This window comes from Homo sapiens, chromosome 10, assembly GCF_000001405.40.
Source record: "Homo sapiens chromosome 10, GRCh38.p14 Primary Assembly".
Classification (NCBI taxonomy): Eukaryota; Metazoa; Chordata; class Mammalia; order Primates; family Hominidae; genus Homo; species Homo sapiens.
Genome location: NC_000010.11, coordinates 127,252,011 through 127,272,988, shown reverse-complemented (window position 1 = coordinate 127,272,988; position 20,978 = coordinate 127,252,011). Strand labels below are relative to the sequence as shown.

The 20,978-nt window shown below is 44.7% G+C and overlaps 1 protein-coding gene across 21 annotated transcripts in view; it reads right to left on the bottom strand.

Moving 5' to 3' along the window:
* The window catches only part of DOCK1 (dedicator of cytokinesis 1), a 547,089-nt gene that overhangs the window by 179,528 nt on the left and 346,583 nt on the right, over window positions 1–20,978 (bottom strand). For 17 of the 21 annotated variants that reach the window (XR_007061946.1, NM_001377544.1, NM_001290223.2 and 14 more), the window contains one exon: window positions 15,560–15,654. Coding sequence is in view for 20 of the 21 variants with exons in the window: in NM_001377544.1 (NP_001364473.1) it covers window positions 15,560–15,654 (95 nt within the window). In the remaining variant the exon portion in view is untranslated. Of the gene's footprint in view, window positions 1–804; window positions 979–15,559; window positions 15,655–20,978 lie in introns of those variants that run through there. The other 4 variants (NM_001377561.1, XM_047424701.1, XM_017015814.2 and 1 more) reach the window with 1 other exon arrangement.

Here is a 20,978-nt window from a genome sequence, read left to right as displayed (position 1 = left end):
ACCCAAATCTCATCTTGAATTCCCACATGTTGTGGGAGGGACCTGGTGGGAAGTAATTGAATCATGGGGGCAGGTCTTTCGTGCTGTTCCTCTTGATAGTGAATGTCTCACAAGATCTGAGGGTTTTAAAAAGAAGAGTTTCCATGCACAAGCTCTCTTCTCTTGTCTGCCACCGTGTGAGACATGCCCTTCACCTTCTGCCATGATGGTGAGGCCTCCCAAGCCACATAGAACTGTAAGTCCAATAAACTCTTTCTTTTGTAAATTGCCCAGTCTCAAGTATGTCTTTATCAGCAGCGTGAACACGGACTAATGCAGGGGTGCTCCTCCAACCTCTTTGCCAAACCTCTGCATCCCAAGCAATATCACTGAGGCAACAGCAGCAAACCAGAAAAGCTAGAAAAAGAGATTTTTTCTGTCTATAAAAAATAGATTGCATGTTGAGAAAAGTGGCAGGTGCTAAAAGCTACCCATTCAGTCAGCCAGCAAAAGAACTCCTTCCCTTTCGGGGTATGGTTAATATTTATATTTACAAACATTAGCATTTAGCAGAATCTATCTCTTCCTAGGACTCTGTGTGTCCATGACATGGAGCCGGTAGCTGCCGAGGTTTGAGCATGAAGAAGAGCTCACAGTGGTGTCTCTGCCAAAGCATGGAGGAAAGAGGCTTCAGTGCAGGTCTTTTGTTTTGAAACATTAGAATCCACTGAACTGAAAAGATCAAGCTGTCAGAGTTCATTTTCTTCCTAAATCAACCAAACTGCAGAATAACGCGAATAACACAAAATATTTCACTTTACAACATAATTTGTATCTTCAATTTACTTGCAGCTCTGGGAATTTGACAGGTACAGTATTAAGTAAAAACCTTCTCTGAAGTCTTATGGGAAAGGTTGACCACAAAACAGCAAGTAATCGTGCACAGCAGCCTTCCTCCATCCTCCTGCAGTTGTGATGGAACTGATGTCATGCAGTTGGCTGAAACGTACAAACACAGATCGCCCTCATGCATTTTGGTGGTAAATTTAGAACAACATTCAATTAAGGAATTAGCTCTGGCTAATAGATCTTAAAGAGAATAAGAGGTATTTGTTCACTGCATATTTATAGCTGCAATTGTTTCTTTGTGGACTCAAATATAAAAAGAGTAACTGCCTTTTATTCTCCAAAATGAACTGCTACAAAAGTATTTCATGTATTTTATTGGTTCACTTTGTTCCTAGAACATTTCCTAGGGATACACCTTCTTTCAGCCCAGCAGTTACACAGTCACTGCCTGTTGAGCACCTACTGTGTGTTGGGTAATGGGACAGTGTACAGTGCAGCCACTGAAATGTTCAGAAGAGATATCCCCCCCAGTGCCAAAGACCCATGCACAAATGCACAAAATCGCACATGACAAATATTAAGTGCCACACAGAAGGGTCTTGCATGAAAAACAATGTATAGAAAATGTCACAATGCTGTTAACATTTCGGTTCCATGGAAAAATTACAATTAAACATTATCATTTTTTTATAGACCTGAAGATGTATTACATAAGTGAATTTTTAAAAATTTAAGTATATCACAGTCAGGCTTTCTTGAAGATGGAGAAAGTATATTATTCAACTTTATTTCCAATTTCGTGTTGAAAAAATAGCAGGAGCTTGACAAAGAATGGTGGAATTGCATGTTTGGTTTTGAAGATAATTTTATTTTTTAAACGGCATTTCGTGAAGCTTCCACATAGCAAGCATGCTGAGCCTTGCTACCCAGACAGTCACCAGCAGGTGAGTCCATTCAGGTTCTTTCTGCAAGTGTCTTCAAAAGACATTTTAAATGTCATCCAACAAAGAACACTATTAAGTGACAAAAAAAAAATCCTGCAGTCACTGAGTGGAGAAAGATATCTACAGCACAGATACCTGACCCAAGGATCTTATCTAGAACACAGATACATTTATATATGTGTGTGTGTGTATATATACATACACACACACACACACATACACACATATATAACTTTTGTTAAGCATAGAAAAAAGGGACAAGAGTCTTGAATACAAGAGAAAATAATGATAATTTCTCAAAAATAAAAATGTGCTCAACCTAATCAGATATTAAGGAAAGGCGAGTTTAACACAATCTCACTACACACCACCAGACTGGATAAAGAAAAATCAGTCTGATGTTACAAAGTATGACTGAGGCTGCATAGCAACATGAACACTGCTTGGGGGACAGGGACGTGTAAAAAGGTAGAATGAACAACTCTGGACAGCAGTGAAGCCTTCTCTGAAGTCTTGTTGGAAAGGAAGTTGGCAGCTCCTACAGAAGCTGAAGACACACAGCTCCCCTGCCTACACACCACTGCACATCCATGAGAATGGCTAAAATGAAAAATAATGACCACGCCACACACAGGCAAGGACACTGGGAAAGAGGAAGGAAGGAAGGAAGAGAGGGAGGGAGGGAGGGAGGAAAGTCAGCCATGTGGCATTTTCTGTGCTGGGTGGCACAGGCTGGCATCAGCTGTGATTCATTCAGTGGAGCACGAAATCAATAGAATGGGAAGAATGTGAAATTGTATTTATTTACTTATTAAGTGAAAAGGGATAGAATGGATGGGATGGAATAGAACAGAACAGAACAGAATAAAAACATCGGAGGGCTCTGCACAGTAAGGAATTCTCGCTGAGTTACACCTTGATGGGGGTGGGAAGTGCATCGAGCAGTGATTGGAAATGTTTTTCTTCATTGGAGTTTTGTTCAAACACGTTTGGAAGTCCCTGCTTAGCTTTTCTTGCCAGACATCGGGAGCCTGTGGAGGTGCGGCCAGGACTGAGATGGACACTGATTTCAGAGGAAGACACCCCTGCCACAGGAGAGAAGGATGGCAGCTCGGAGGAGGCGCTGGGGAGCTGGCTTCCGGAACTCCAGTCCTATCCACTGGGTCCTGTGTATGATTGGCTCTGAGGGTGGGAGAAGGAGAGGAGGCAGGTGGAGTCCCCGGTTCCTGAGAGGCTCTGTAGACAGTGCCACTTACTGTTACCAAAACTGAGCGTGGTCAGGAGCTGGCATTCATTCACTGAGGACCTCCTCGTCAAGCTCTCTATTCTCGTTATGCCAACGGGGCTTCCCAAGGACTGCATGGGTGGTGGGCGTCACTGTCCACATTTTATGTGCCTGGCCTTGGATGTGGCTTAAGAGCAACCAGTTCTGCAGTCTCTCCTGCTACTCACACAGGGGGCCCGGAGCCACTCATTCAACCCCCCTGAATCTCAGAACCTCATCTGCACATGAGGGACAACACAGGATCCTCTCTGGGGACTGCAGCTCTGTCCTTCCAAGATGCCAGGGCAGACAGGACCACCATTTTGGTGACTGGCTTCTGAACAGAGACAACTGCACAAGACCTATGCTTGACAGAGTGTCAGCCATGTCACATAAAGCAATTCACAAATGCTGCTTCTAGGAAAACAGCAAGCAAAATGGGTTGACTTAATTACCTATAAATCAAGGGAAACCGCAATTTGAATATATACAAATATCCTCACAAGAAGAGAGTGAATCTATGAAAGCAAAGAATTGTATTTTTTTATAATGTAATTTCTCAATACATGTACAAAGTGCTCTGAATCTCCAGGGCAATGTCTATGCTTCACACCCTTACCTGTGGGCTCAATTCTCAGATTCAGAGGGACAATGACACACTATCATGTCATCTTCATAAAAATGGAGGGGGTCACAGACATGGCTTGTTGCAAGGTCACTGGAGGTCAGGCTCTGAACAAAGCACCCCACATGCGCTTTCTCATTTATTCCCCCAAAACACTCCAGCGAGGCTTGACTTCTGTCTCTAATTTACGGGTGAAGAAACTACAGCACGGGGTAAATCTGCCCAACACTAAATTTACAAAGCTCATAAGTGGTGGAGCACGGATTTGACCTGACAAACTGACTCCAGGGCTCAGCTTCCAACCCTTGTACTGAAGGTGGCCTCTGGCTGGGAGAGGTAGAGAGGAAAGGCCTGTGGCTACTCTTTCACCCCAGGCTCGGCAGAATTGGGGTGTAGAGGCTGGCAGCCCAAGCACCCTGAGAACAGGCTCTTGCTAATATTTTCAACGTGTGTCCCACATGCCAGGCAGGACTGGAGGCAGCCCTGGCATGTACATTCATGTCACTGTGATTCCAATGCCATCTTGCTCCCAAACACCACCCCAAATCAAAGCCCACAAAAATCTCCTGCAAAGACACTGGAGCCCCTGGCAGAGCGACTTGGGGAAACCACCTCCAATTCTCGGACACCCCCCTAATAAGTGAAGACCAGTCCTATCTTCAGCAGCTAGCTGCTATTATTTGTTCTAGAGGGCGCTGGTTTGGCTGAGGTCACATGGCAGAGAAGGGTGGCTGAGAAATGGGGAAACAAGGAGAAGAGAGTCACTGCAATAAATCACATATATTTCTTTCTTTCTTTCCTCTTCTTTTTTTTTTTTTTTTTTTGAGGTGGAGTCTCGGTCTGTCACCCAGGCTGGATGGAGTGCAGTGGCACGATCTCGGCTCACTGCAACCTCCGCCTCCTGGGTTGAAGGAATTCTCCTGTCTCAGCCTCCTGAGTAGCTGGGGCTACATGCACATGCCACCATGCCTGGCTGATTTTTTTTTGTATTTTTAGTACAGACAGGGTTTCACCATATTGGTCAGGCTGGTCTCGAACTCCCTCGGCCTCCCAAAGTGCTGGGATTACAGGCATGAGCCACTGCACACATATTTCTATGTATTTCTAACAGTTACTGAGCATCACTGAGACTCTGGACTCTGTTTTTTCATCTATCACATGGAGACACTAGTGACATTATGGATGAAATGACTCTTTGCGGCAGGGGGCTGTCTCGTGCATGAAAAGATGTTTAGTAGCATCCCTGGTTTCTACCCACTAAATGCCAGCAGCCCTCTCTTCCCAAGTTGTGACAACAACGTGTCTGGACATTGTCGATTTTCCTCTAGGGGAAACAACTGTCCTTCATTGAGAACTATCAAAAAGACACGGAAGACACAGCCTGGCAAGCCTGCGAGGACTCAGTTCACTTGGCTGCCTCTTCCTCCTGTTCTAGACGTAAAAGCACCACACCAGAGGGTCCTATACTGCACAGACCTTCTTCCAAGTCCCAGTAGCACAGGAGGTTAAAACTTAGCATGAGAGGACCGGGAGGAGGATCATAATAAAGTGTATCTCCTCCATTTTGCTTTGTGCGGAGAGATGTTTCATGCATAAAATAGAGAGGGCACTTGGCTTCGGTCCTCGTAACATGAAGTGCCTCCTCCGGCATTAAGTGCCAGCGGGATGCGGCATCAGTACCAGCCAGGCACTCCCGACGAGGTGCGCGTGATCTCTGAGAATTCTTAAACAGACTTTGCCCTTTTCAAACTTTCCTTTAAAGCAAGCTTCCCTAAATAAGAGTCCTGCTGAGAGCTCTTCATCACTGCCACTCCTTTGAGAGTAGGTTGATTTTTCATCTCTGAATTAAAATTTAAAACAGGCAATCTGAATAAGACGACACAGTTTAAAATATCTAGGCTATGTGCAATACATTGGTTATAAACAACCAGGTAAAACTCTGGAAATTATTTGTTTTAGTTATTAAGCAAAGAGCAAAAGCAGACATGAAATAGAATAACTGTTATGGAAAGTATCTGAAATAATTTATGACTAGGCCTTAAGAATGAACAGAACTCGAACAGGTAGCATTTGGTCGTAGGTCAGTTTCCATCCCAAGGTGCAGTGGGCTCTGATACACCATCTGCAACCATATCTAGGCCCAAAAGCTGCTGAGAGAGAACTGCCAATGTCCCTGTGTCCCCTCTAAAAGCAACCTCTGGAGATAAAACTAAAATGATAGACATAGCAATGTAGCCCCAGTGGGGTCCTTTTCCTGCTGGAGGGTCCAGAGCATCATTACTGGATCCAAGTCAGTATCTGTCTTGAAATCCTGATGCATCACAATGGCCAACACAGCCCCCAGAAAAGTCTCATGTGTTTCTCTGGGTGACTTGCCAGAAATGCACTCAGGTACAGCCCAAGTTAACCAGCCTAGGAAGGAGAACTGTGGCCCTGGTGCCTGCAAACTGGGGACTCTGGGCTGTGAAATGTCTCAGGTTAGGCCAGTTTTCTTGGAGAGGAAGAAGGCTCAAAGAGCAATATTATTAAGTGCATGAGCTGTAGTAAAATGCAGGTATGGAGAACTCTAGGGAAATCTTCATTCCAGAATGTTTTCACTATACTGAGTTTCAATTGCTATTTTTTTCACCCCAAATTCTCAGAGACCATGCACATCTCATCGTGAGCACCTGGCTGGCGTTAATGCCACATTCCACTGGCACTTAATGCCAGAGGAGGCACTTCATGTTATGAGGACCAAAGCCAAGTGCCCTCTCTATTTTATGCATGAAACATCTCTCAGTGCAAAGCAAAATGTATAGTCAGTACAGTCTATATATATGTGTGTGTGTGTGTGTGTGTGTGTGTTTTGGTACTTAGCTAGTTGTGTTTTGCTGTCAACAACTGCTGTATACTGTTTCAAAGGAAAAAAATAATTCTAAAGTGTGCCTAAAATCATCAAGCCATTGGCTGTGCAAAACCTCAATAGTAAGCCAATAAATATTAAAAATAAATTAAATGAGAAGTCACAACATCAACTAAAATCCAGGCTTCAAAGAAAGGAAAAAAGATGTTAAGAAGTAATAATCCAAGAGTTTCTCAAGCCCCAAATGCTTTATAACCATGATTTCAACCTGCACAAAGAATATTCAACTATGCACCCTTAATTGGGATGCAGAGGTGCTTCTCTGGACGGAGGTAGAACAGGAAAGAAAACACGCAGTCCTCCTGACTTGGCCATCCACAGGTTGCCACTGGTGCCATGGTCCTGGGGGCAGGCCCCCTGCACGTGGGCACTAATTTTTCCCTCTCTCCCATCCTAAGGCAAGCGGTGCCTTTCCCCTGATCCAAGCCCTCAGCTCAGTGTGGTCAACGACTCAAATTCCTTCACGGCAACGAAAGCAAATGGCAAAGTACCTACAAACAGCCTACCCTGCAAATTTGCCTTCTGAGCACCAACACGACTTATCCTTAAGGAACTGGCATCTCCAAGGTGGAATCCCTTTCTAGGGCTTAAGGCCCTTTCCTGTCCTGACTATAAGCCAAATTAATTTTGGCAGAAATAGCAGAGAGCTTGCCATCCTGGACTCTGATACATCTGGTAGATAATACTTATAAGTGAGGAAATGCATTCTATTTAAAAAGGGAGAAATTGTTAAGTTACAGAAATAAGCATGGACGATTTTCCTCATGAAAGGAGCTGCATGTGATTATGAGGTGTCCATAGACATCATATATGGCAGGCTGGTGAAAATGTAATATGCTACGTCAATGGATTGAGGAAAACACTTCCTGGTTGAAAGAAGGATGAATCATGGGGAGAGGAGGAGAGGCCACAGAGAAATGAGCCAAGGTGGTTGTCAAAATGAGGTCAAGAGATCAAAATCCTCCATCCTTTGCAGACTGCAAGCATCATCCTGATCTGTTTGGGATGGTCTCCATATGGCCATGATTTTTTTTTTTTAATGTGTAACACACAGACACTGGAAATAAATAGCAACATGATCTCACAAACTCCAAATCGGGATGAAATTTCAAAGTTTGAAAGGACAAGTATAAGATTAATTGATTGCAGATAGAACAAAACCAAACAATAGTTTTTGACTGACAATCTCTGATGTTGAAATGGTCAACGACTAGACAAGACTGAATGGATCAGGTCAGCTAAATCCCCTTCATTTGATGAGCTAGTCTTTCAGACAAGTCCAATTATAACCAACCACTGTTATAACCAACATGCTGACTGGTAACATCTTACGCATTTCCTAACTGAGAGAATAATCTCTTCTGTTTTCTATGGGCAGAATTTTGAATTCTCAACTGATTCCTTCCCTATGATCTTCTCCTGTTCAGTGTCTCCTATATAAAGATCTACATCATGGCCGGGTGTGGTGGCTCATGCCTGTAATCCCAGCACTTTGGGAGGACAAGGCGGGTGGATCACTTGAGCCCAGGAGTTCGAGACCAGCCTGCGCCATATGGCGAAACCCCATCTCTCCAAGAAAATAAACCCACAAAAAATTAGCTGGGCACGGTGGTATGTGTCGGTAGTCCCAGCTACCTGGGAAGCTCAGCTGGGAGGATTGCTTGAACCCAGTAGTTAAAGGCTGCAGTGAGCCATGATCCTGCCACTGCACTCCAGCCTGGACAACAGAGTGAGACCCTGTCTTGGAAAAAAAAAAAATCTACATTGTAAACTGCCAGCTTCCCGTGATAAATGGCAAGGATCATTTTCACCAACCAGTGAGAACCCGGCAACCGTCTTATTTGCCTTTATGTTTTATCCTGCAGTCAGCTTTGAGTATTTCAACTTCTAGAAAGCATCGTTTTCTCTACAATTTTACATATTCTATTTTATATTCATGTTATATGAACCTTTACTTGCAAGACATACCAAGTCCTCTATGAAAGTGTGTGGGCTTCAAAACACTAATCATTATTTCCCGTAGGTCCCAGCCTAGCCTGAAAAAGAACAGGAAGTCTCAAACACAAAACCTATGCCAACAGAGAGGAATGCCTGGAAGCGATTGATAATCACAGTTGCAAACTACACTAGCTCTGAGGAAATGCAAATGCTGGTTTCATGTCTTTATTATCCTGAGAGCAGAGGGTACAGTAGGCAGGGAGGACTAGGGAAGCTGTGAGCTGGAGTAGTTGAATTTTTAAAAATTCCGTTACAAGTCTCAGTAGCTGACAACTGTGGATAAGGTTTTGTTACACGCTATGTAGTCAATACGAACAAGAAAGTCTAATTCCAAAATAGGGAAAATTACATTCAGTACTGGCCTCTCTCTCACCCACCACATGTTGTAGAAATGCCTTTCTCAAGCAAAAGTAAAGCAGTTAATAAGAAACGGTTTCTTCGAGGTGACAAAGGGATTCGGTTTACCTGGCAGACTCACTTCCTACCAGGTCATTCCTATCACTTAAAATTCTAGTAGGGGTTATTAGTACATAAACTCAAGCACCCTACTGGAGCACGAAGGCAAACCCTAAGACTAGAAGAGACACAAAAATTCAAGCAAGTGGTCACATTCTCATTAACAACCAAGGAGAATTCTATGATAGCCATGGTATGATTGCTGGCCATTTAGACTATGCTGCACACACAAAGCGTGAATCCGAGCAAGTCAGCTAATAAGAGTTCCAGGATGGATACCAGCATGTAGGTGCCAACAGGGAAAGGTCTGTGCTTCCAACAGAACCTGAGAGCTTCAGTGAAACCTTAGCAGCTGCTCCCCTCTGGGAAGATTATAAAGCACTTCTGGGTGCTAGCACAAAAGCACACTTCTACTGTTTCTGTGCTGTGCTCATCTTAAATGTCATCTTGCCATCTGGTACTCTCATATCCTAGAGCACAGCTATAATGTCAGGCCATCGCCTATCAGTTCCCATCTTGGACATAACCAAGTGAACACCGTACTTTGGGATAGTCATTAAATCCTGTAATTTTGATTCTTGATTTACAAGTTATATCACCAATCTAGTAAGAGGCAATCTATATATACACATATATGGCAGGTAGATAAAGACATAGAATATGGTATCTGCAATTTCCATAAGAGGATTACTTTATGACAATGCTAGGGAGACGTGATTTTTCTAGACTGCACAGTAAGATTCGCTCTTATAAAACACATTGATAAATGGTGCATACACTTCTAAAGGTGAAGAAAGTAAGTAGCAATGTAATGAATTCCACACTCAAAATTCACTCACGTAAGCAGTAAACCTTGTGGAAAAGTTGTTATGTTTTATGGACACTCGAATAAAGACAAAACAAAAACTCCTAACACTCTCTTGGGAAATAGGAGACCTACTTAAGACCAAGAGGCAGGGTAGCTAGGTGGCTCAGGCACGGCTCTGGGGTGGATGCTCTGGGGTTAAATTTTGGCACTAACACCGCCCAGCTCTCTGTCTTTTGGCACGTGACCCAACCTCCATGCCTCAATTTTCCCATGTGTAAAGTGGGCCTAAACACAGCAGCTGTCCCAGAGGGCTGCTGAGGGTATGAAGGACGTGATGGCACGTGACATCCCCACAGCAGTGCCTGGTGCTGGGAGGCATGCCCAATGTTAGCTCACTCTCAGCTCCAGAACGCAAACGTGCAATGCCTCACAAAGAATGGGAATGTACAGGGAAAGTGATGCAAACCCTTCATTTTGAAGCTGGTATTGAAGCAAAGGTGTCAAAGAATACTTAAGGGTCTCTCAACAAGCTGTCTCCAGACAGTTTCAAGTATCTTACCACATGAAGGCAATAACCTTCTTCAAAAACCCACCTGATCCAGCTTCTAAACATTCATGTTGTTTATTCAACACAAAGGGCAGCATATGGGGGCAGAAGGATGTGGGAATAAAAGTTACAGTTATCAGTGACCAACTCCAATCAGGACCTAAAATGCCTCCTCGGTGGCTGACTCTTGTGCTGTGTGGGCTTGGGAGCTTGTTTCTGCTGAATGTGTCAACTGGGATAGGAATATGGGTTTGTTTGAGCTTCTGAGAGTAAGAATCTCTGCAAATAAAAGTGTCTTTACTTGAAACCAACACCTCAGCACACAGGTACACACACACAGCCACATGCACACACATGCAGGTACACACACAGATGAGCACGGGTACACACACACACACACGCACACACACAGATGAGCACGGGTACACACACACACACACCCACATGCACACACATACAGGTACACACACAGACGAGCACGGGTACACACACACACACCCACATGCACACAGAGGAGCACGGGTACACACACACACCCACATGCACACACACAGAAGAGCACAGGTACACACACACACACACATGCACACACATGCAGGTACACAAACAGATGAGCATGGGTACACACACACACCCACATGCACACAGAGGAGCACGGGTACACACACACACACCCACATGCACACAGATGAGCACGGGTACACACACACATGCACACACACAGATGAGCACGGGTACACACACGCACACCCACATGCAGGTACACACACGCACACCCACATGCACACAATGCAGGTACACACCCACACCCACATGCACACACATGCAGGTACACACACACACACCCACATGCACACACACAGATGAGCACGGGTACACACACGCACACCCACATGCACACACATGCAGGTACACGCACACCCACATGCACACACATGCAGGTACACACACACCCACATGCACACACATGCAGGTACACATGCACACACACAGATGAGCACGGGTACATGCAGGCACACACCCACATGCACACACATGCAGGTACACACACAGATGAGCACGGGTACACACACACCCACATGCACACACATGCAGGTACACACACACCCACATGCACACACACAGATGAGCACGGGTACATGCAGGCACACACACACGCACACACATGCAGGTACACACACAGATGAGCATGGGTACACACACACCCACATGCACACACATGCAGGTACACACACACCCACATGCACACACACAGATGAGCACGGGTACACACACGCACACCCACATGCACACACATGCAGGCACACACACACACACCCACATGCACACACATGCAGGCACACACACACACCCACATGCACACACATGCAGGTACACACACGCACACCCACATGCACACACATGCAGGTACACACACACACCCGCATGCACACACATGCAGGGACACACACAGATGAGCACGGGTACACACGCACACACATGCAGGCACACACACATGCACACACATGCAGGTACACACACAGATGAGCACAGGTACACACACACCCACATGCACACACACATGAGCACGGGTACACACATACAGACACCCACATGCACACACATGCAGGTACACACACATGAGCACGGGTACACACACACACACCCACATGCACACACACAGATGAGCACGGGTACACACACACACCCACATGCACACACGTGCAGGTACACAGATGAGCACGGGTACACACACACACACATGCACACACACAGATGAGCACGGGTACACACACGCACACCCATGCACACACATGCAGGGACACACAGATGAGCACGGGTACACACACACACCCACATGCACACACACAGATGAGCACGGGTACACACATGCACACCCACACGCACACACATGCAAGGACACACAGATGAGCACGAGTACACACACACCCACATGCACACACATGCAGGGACACACACAGATGAGCACGGGTACACACACGCACACCCACATGCACACACATGCAGGTACACACACAGATGAGCATGGGTACACACACAGGCACACATCACTTCTCTGCAGGAAGCTCCCATGGAGGAAACACTGCTCAACGACCTGGCCTCACAGTACTGGAATCCTTGATTAGAAGGTTCAGGATAACATTTTATGTAAAACAGAAAATAAACTGTAGGGATTTTACATTCAGGCTGCTTCCCTTGTCAAGACGTCTTTCCAGCTGCAGTCCGTGTACACGATGAACAAGAGAACAAGGTGGACTTTATTATCACCAAGGTAGACTTTATCCTCAGAAGTCTCATCCAATCAACTGCTGAGAGGACACTGAGCACTGTGGCTTCTCCCCAGAGTTTCCCTGTCCTCAAAACAAAAGACTCTCTTCCCGGTTTCTAAGACGCAAAGGCTTTGGTCCAAAATGCCACTGTACCAACCTGCTGCTGCAGCGCGGGTACCTCTGTCAGGCGCCATACCCTGTGAAGGGGCTCTAGTGAGTAGGGGTGCTGGCCAGGGAAGGTTGCCACTGGTTTGCAGCAAATTCATGATTCCAAGGAATGTGGATCAAGCCACCTGCTCACCCCAGAAACAACAGAATATCCCAGGAGAAGCTGGACAGGGTCTCTGGAGAAGGAAACCAGAACCATAGCACTCCCAGGGTTGAGCCCCAGACCACTTACTGTGTGGCTTTGCATCACGGCCAGTGCTGCAGCAACCCTTACGTAGCGCAGGGTTGGCGGCAGGAGGAAGACAGTGAAGTAGGAAGAGAGAATGATGCGGCTATGATGTTCCAACTGAAAACAGGCTCTCAATTATAAAAAAAAAAAAAAAAAATCATGAACTAAGTAGATTTTGACTATTCCCTCCTAAACGGGAGACCCTCGGAGTAGGAGCGACATGAATGCAACTTCAGGGAGCCCATCCCGCCTGACCTTTGTCAGAGCAGTGCTCACCCAGGGCCACGGAATCCACAGCCTGAGAGCCAGGACGTGCTGCTCTGCTGGGAGACCCAGAAGGTCAGGTCTACACGTAGAGGAGTCAAGAGGTGGAGAGCAGCATCCACACGGGCCGCCTCCACACCCTGTGCTCAGGCGCCTGCTCAGCCACACCTCTGCTCCTGGCCAATGATGTCATGAGATCTATGGCTCCAGGACAGCGGGGTTTTTGATTATTGTTGCTGATGTGTTTGCTTGTTTTCACTATGTGCAAAATACAGCCATTAAAGACACAACGCTCTAGAGCTCTTCAGAGGAAATCTAGACTGTCAATCACAAAAGTTCATCCTAACAGAGAAAAAGGGAAAAGACCAGTGCTTTCTATTAAGTCCACCATTTTCTAGATGACGACTGAGAAGCTGAGAGAAGGCCACAGGAATAATTTAAAGTCACCCAGCAGGTGGAAGAGTGAGGAGGAGCAGAGGTCAAGACCCCCACTCTGCTCCCCGGGCCAGAGCTAAGGCTACAGCAATGCCAGGGTCTCCGGGGCTTCCTCACCATCTACTCTCAGATGCCATCTTTGATGTGTGGAAGGAGACTTCCAGCTCAGTAACATCTGACGCGGGGTGAACATCACTCCCTCCCTCATGCTTACCCCTCGGGGAGGTTTGTAGGACTCCCGCAGCCACGGTACACAAGGCCAATCTGTCTCTGCTGCCCCAGAAAGCAGAAAAACCCAGAGGAGGCCAAAGGAAAGGTCGTGCTGCTTTGGATTTGTCGAAGGGAAGGACAATAGGCATTAAAGAGAGGCAAAGCCATCACAGGAAATTCAATTTAACATCCTAGGGAGATACACTACACACCTATCAGCATGGCTAAAAGCAAAAACAGTGTCAACGGCAAAGGCTGGATGCGGAGCAACCGAATCACTTACATGGCTGGTGGGAACGTAAAATGGTACAGCCATAGATTGGCAGTTTCCTACGTCACGAAATGTGCAATTACCCAACAAGCCAGCATTTGTCCAGGAAGGCATTTATGCCACAGAACCGAACTCATGTTCACCCAAAAACTGATGCACGAAGGCTGGTGGCAGCTTTATTCGTAAGAGCCACAAACTGGGGATAGCCCAGACGTCCTTCAACAGGAAAATGGTTCATCACACTTGGTCCAGGCGTACCATGGGACACTACCCAGCAATAAAAAGGAATAAGCTATTGATACAGGCAACAACCTAAATGGATCTCCAGTGAATTAAGCAAAGTGAAAACAGCCATGCTGAAAGCTTATATACTGTATGATTACACTTATGTAACATTTTTGAAATGAAGCAATTATACAAATGAAGAACGAATGAGTGGTCGAGAGAGCTTACGGATGGTGGAGTGGGGAGGGGAGAGGTATATGTGGGTATAATTGGGCAACAAGAGGAACATTTGTGGTGATGGAAACACTCAGTGGCTTCACGGTGGTGGTGGAGTCCACAGTATATGCATGTGCTGAAACTACACAACTCAACACAAACACTAATGAATACAAATTAAACTGAGGAAATCTGAGTAAGATCAGTGAATCGCATCATCGACTCCCTTATACACAAGATCTCTATGACTTCCTACAACTGCACATGAACCCACAATTATCTCCATAAAAATTGCAATGAGAAAGAAAAACAGAGATGAACAGAAAGTTCTTTTTAAAAATCCCACGTGATTGAGAATTCTATGGTCATTGTTAGTGCTTACAGAAATGATAAAACCCAATGTGCTAGAAAATTAACCAACAGCCCTCACTGGAGATTATAAACAAGGCACAAGTTCAATATTTAATGAGTATGAAGAAAATGCTCATGATTAAAAAAACTGAAATATGTGAAATGTCAACACTTTGCAAAAGCCTCTTGCATGGAGCTGACAGTGCCTAGGGCTGATACAAATATGTGGGTAACATGAGAGCGCAGAGCGACGTCGAGCAGAACCCCTGTGCCCATGATGACAGCTAGGGGAGATCCAGCTTCAGGCTGTTTTTCTCCAGGGGACGGAGCTCAAGTTCTTAGAGCCAGAGCCCTGTGTTGTCATAAGGAAGTCACCACAAACTCAGAGTCCCTGTCTCCCTAGAACTGTCTGCAGCACAGAATTAGGAACAGCGTTTGCAGAGCATTTTATTGAAGCCAGCTTGGTCTCCAGGCAACACCACTGTTCCCAGCAGACATGAATTGGGAGCCATAGAAAAGGTGAGAGCCGTTTTCCCCACACTTACTTATTTTGCACCATGTTCATGATCACCCAGTCGAAGGGGTAAACGTTCTTTCCAATGAGGTTCTTAAACATGATGAATGTTTCCATTAGGAAATCCTGAAATAAAAAAACAAAACACTGAAATGGCCCACAAAGAAAAAGGTAAACATGATACCCTCCTGTCAATTAGATTATAAAATACCCCATTTTAAAGGCTGAATGAACACATCCTGAAAAGTAATGAAGATATATTTCATAGGAGCTGTGAATTAGACCTGTCTTTCTGTTTACCTGAGCACCTCCTGTCTGAGACGGCTTCTTCAAGAATATATTCTGAAACAGTCCCTGAGCATGTCTCTCTAATAGTTAAAGAGTAAATCCCCAAAGGTTAGGAATAGGCATTCAAGCCCTTTCTGCTTCTAGGAAAACATGATTTTAACAAACAAGGCTTGCAGGTTACAGCTTTTTCTTATGTTTGCTCTAAATCAATTTTTCATGATGAACAGGACACATCAGATTGAATACGGGATACTACTGTCTGTTCCTTTCTCTTACGGAATTTCAAAACGAAAGGCTCCAACAGGTACTCCTGACCATCTGCACAGATTTGGCATGCAATAAACCATTTGAGTGTGCAGCCGTGTTGCCAAACTCTCCTAGATGGCAGCTACATCCCCAAAAGCTACCGAGTTATGCTTCTGATGTCTTAGATGATGCTGTGTACTTCGCAGGGCAACTGAAAAGAAGCAGGGTTCCGTACACACCCAGCTGCTCTACCCTGCTTCCATGGAATGTGCCTGACATCAGGAAGGGGTAGCCGGTTCCTAGGGACTCCAGTATGTGTCTATCAGAATTAGAAGGTTTCCTACTTTCCAGAGCTTGACAGGTGCTCTGAGCTAACCTGAACAAAACAAGTGGCTATCCCAAAAAGCACACATCCCTGGTAGCCCCAAGCTCACTCAACACTCAAGGTAGGAAATGAAAAGACAACCGAGAACTGTCTTAGAAAAATGAGGCCATGGTCAGGGATTGCCAAATGAGTGGATATTTCTCATTTATTTAATCTCCTGAATCATAATTAGGTGCAATGGCTGTGAAGGCCAAGGTGGTGAACAGAATTTAAGCAGCCAAGAAAGCAATTCCCAGTACGAAGTTCTAAATAAGCAGCTCCTGCAAAGAGGCACAAGTTAAAATTGATGACACTAACAAGCTAATGTTCAAAGTTAAGATACTTTCTCTCCAACTCTAATGGCAAAGTCAGGTCCTAGCAGGTGAAGTCTGTAGTGTGAGGAGTTTGGTGTGCCCCCACCATAAATAAAATGAGTGATCCTGATCACTCTATTAGAGCAGATGCCTCCAGTCTAGGAGACATTAGTGACCCAGACAAAATCAAGTTGGAAAAGTCAGTCCAGATGTCCTCCAAACTCTGTACGTGGGCACTGTGTCCACCTGCTCTCAGGAGCGGGAGCATCCCAGTCCTCCCTTCCGACACAACAAATGGCTTCTTTTCCAGTTTAATTATTGAAATTCATATTTCACTACTGAGTTTCCTCACTTTGTCAAGAGTTTCCCATTTTAACGACCAGGCTGCATATTTTGTAGGCTGAGTACCGTAATTCAGTCACATCTCTATTTGCATGAAATTGCTGGCTTTCTTGATGATTACTTCTCAAAGCCTAATAATTGAGCTACAGCCTCTCGTTTTTATTATTCTGGAAGAGAAGCATATTTTCCCAATTCTCTTTCTTTTCTAAGAGACACAGTCCCATACTTCATTAGTATGGCTCAGCTGTTAAATTTTGGTACTTTGCTGATCAAACAAAATGCTGCATCTAGTGGGAGATGAGGTTCTGCAAGGCGTCCTTGTTTTCTGCATAATTCACTAGCCATGGCGGTGGCCCCTAACAACTGTGTTTGCCTTGAGCAGCTGATGAGGCTTACCGGACTGTTCCACTAGGGTCTCCAAGTCAACAAGGGATATTTTGTGAAAATTTCATCATTCAATGTGGATTTATTCCTGTTGCATTTTTTGTTTTAGTTTCTATTTATTTTATTTATTTATTTCATTCCCTCACCCAGGCTGGAGTACAGTGGCACGATCTTAGTTCACTGTAGCTTCAACCCTGGGACCCAAGTGATCCTCCCGTTTCAGTATCCTGAGTATCCTGGGACCACAGGTGTGCATCACCATGCCTGGCTAGTTTTTTTATTTTTAGTAGAAATGGCATCTTGCTATATTACCCAGGCTGGTCTTGAACTCCTGGGCTCAAGGAATCCTCCTGCCTCGGCCTCCCAAAGTGTTGGGATTACAGGTGTAAGCCACTGTGCCCGGCTGCATGTTTTAGTTTGACTATTCACAGGATGTCTTATACAATAAGCAGGCTGCTCTAATAGCAGCCATCCATCTGCTTCAGAGGCAAAATCGTGTCATACCTCTGTCTGCACCTTTCCATCCCTGTGCCCACCCACTAGAATAAAACAGCCATCCTCTCGCACCTGGACTGCCACAGGGGACTCCAAATCCATCAACTTAGGTCCATCCTTGTCCTTTCTTGTCCCCATGCTTCACTTTTCAAATGACAAATCTCATCAAGGCATCAATGCTTTCCAGACATCACACTGAACCCATTTCCCCAATGGCTTCCCAATGCTCTTAGACTAAAGACAAAGCATCTTCACTCTTAGACTTAGGAAATTTCCATTCTGCTCAGCCAAAGGAGTAACCATTATGGACAAGGACCAGCCACAGATTTTCAACCCATCCGATGAAGGATTGTTAGGGAAATAGGACATGGCCACATTTTTGTGGATTCAAAGTTTTATCCAAAGATTATCTGACAATTGCAAAGGTAGGAAGAGGTACATACTTTCACAATGGAGGGATCTGGAAGTTACCAGCTTTGAACCCAGTGGTGAAATTCAGCATCGCCAGTAGTGGGTCAGCATGACAAGCCCACTTCCTGTGTTACTTCCTGAAGTAACACAGCAGGAAGCTTTCGACAGCAATGCTGAAACACTCTTGCCAAGGAGTTGAGCTTGAATCTCAGAACAAGCTTCTGGTTTGCAGAACATACAGGGGGATAAAGAAACCAGTCGAAAGGCATATTACAAGGCAGCACAAAAAAAGTCCAGAATGGGAGATAGTCTACAAAAGCTAATGGATTGGTCTCTTCAAAAAAACTGAAAAGCAATGCTATGAAAAGAAAATAAAACAGTGTGATGGTGATGGATTTATTTTAGAAAAAGAAAGATTAAAGAGACACAATCATCAAATGCAATGCGTGAAAAGGACAAAAAAATTTGGAAAGAATGGAGGAAATCTGAATACAAATGGCATGAGGGGTTGTTGCTGAATTCTCATGGAGCAATATGACCAATAGAGAATGTCTTTAGTCCCCAGAGACGTTTGCTGAACAGCTTAGGGCAGGTGCATCCCTGTCTCTCACTGACTGAAAGGGGTTGGCTGTATAGATAGAGACACTTGGAGACACATGACGGAAGCAAATATGCCAACGTGCTTTCAACGGATGAATTGAGGTGGCAGGAATCATGGTTTCCTTTTTTTTTTTTTTTTTTTGAGACAGGGTCTCATGCTATCACCCAGGCTGGAGTGCAGTGGCATAATCTTAGCTCACCGCAGCCTCAAACTCCTAGGCTAAAGTGATCCTCCTGCCTCAGCCTCCCAAGTAGCTGAGACTACAGGCATAAGCTATCATACCTGGCTATTTTTTTATATTTTTTGTAGAAATGGGGTCTCACTATGTGGCACAGGCTGGTCTTGAATTTCTGGGCTCAATAGATCTTTCTGCTTCGACCTCCCAAAGTGCTGGGATTACAGGCATGAGCCACTGAGCCTGGCTCCATTGTATTATTCTTTCAGCTTTTCTGTATTTGTAAAATTTTTTGTGATCCACAGTGGAAAGAGAATAAGTAAAACACTGGTGAAATCTGAGTAAGGTCAGATAAGCCCTTTTCCTTGCAGAATCTGATGCTAACTCCAGGTAGATGGTGTCAGAATTGAATTGAATTGTAGGACATCCAGCTGGTGTCAGGGAATGGGATGCGGTGGGAGAGACCCACACACTTCTGGTCACAGAAGTGTGAGAGTGTAGGAAAATGTAGTGTGTTTTCCAAAGCCACAGAGTGGGAATTTGTGACAAGTGGCAAGACAACATTCTCCGCTAGAAGTACCAAAGCCGTCATTGTTCCCTTCTAGCTAACTACAGAGAATCGGGGCACATTCTCTGCTTCTGTTACTGAGACGTGGACACGTGGCAGCCAGCAGCCCCTTGGGCAGGTCAGCATCTCCAGTGTAGAAGATTCTACAGATTCTTTGTGGTTCGAATCCAAAAGGGTTGGGATGGTCTCTGTCCTCAGAGTTCTGAGCTGAACATGTCTATTGTTTTTCTCTTCTGGATCAGTCATTCCGCTTGTGCTCTATATGCTCACTGTCACTGGTGTTGATAGTAAGTGTGATTTTGTATGAAAATGACTCACTCAACCAAAAAGGGCTAAATTTGAGAACCTGAATTAGTACTTGTTAAAAGGAAATAGTCTCAAGAAAATAGAACCAAAAAAGAGCCCGCATCGCCAAATCAATCCTAAGCCAAAAGAACAAAGCTGGAGGCATCACACTACCTGACTTCAAACTACACTACAAGGCTACAGTAACCAAAACAGCATGGTACTGGTACCAAAACAGAGATATAGATCAATGGAACAGAACAGAGCCCTCAGAAATAACACCACATATCTACAACTACCTGATCTTTGACAAACCTGAGAAAAACAAGCAATGGGGAAAGGATTCCCTATTTAATAAATGGTGCTGGGAAAACTGGCTAGCCATATGTAGAAAGCTGAAACTGGAACCCTTCCTTACACCTTATACAAAAATTAATTCAAGATGGATTAAAGACTTAAACATTAGACCTAAAACCATAAAAACCCTAGAAGAAAACCTAGGCATTACCATTCAGGACATAGGCATGGGCAAGGACTTCATGTCTAAAACACCAAAAGCAATGGCAACAAAAGCCAAAATTGACAAATGGGATCTAATTAAACTAAAGAGCTTCTGCACAGCAAAAGAAACTACCATCAGAGTGAAAAGGCAACCTAAAAAATGGGAGAAAATTTTTGCAACCTACTCATCTGACAAAGGGCTAATATCCAGAATCTACAATGAACTCAAACAAATTTAAAAGAAAAAAACAAACAACCCCATCAAAAAGTGGGCGAAGGACATGAACAGACACTTCTCAAAAGAAGACATTTATGCAGCCAAAAAACACATGAAAAAATGCTCACCATCACTGGCCATCAGAGAAATGCAAATCAAAACCACAATGAGATACCATCTCACACCAGTTAGAATGGCAATCATTAAAAAGTCAGGAAACAACAGGTGTTGGAGAGGATGTGGAGAAATAGGAACACTT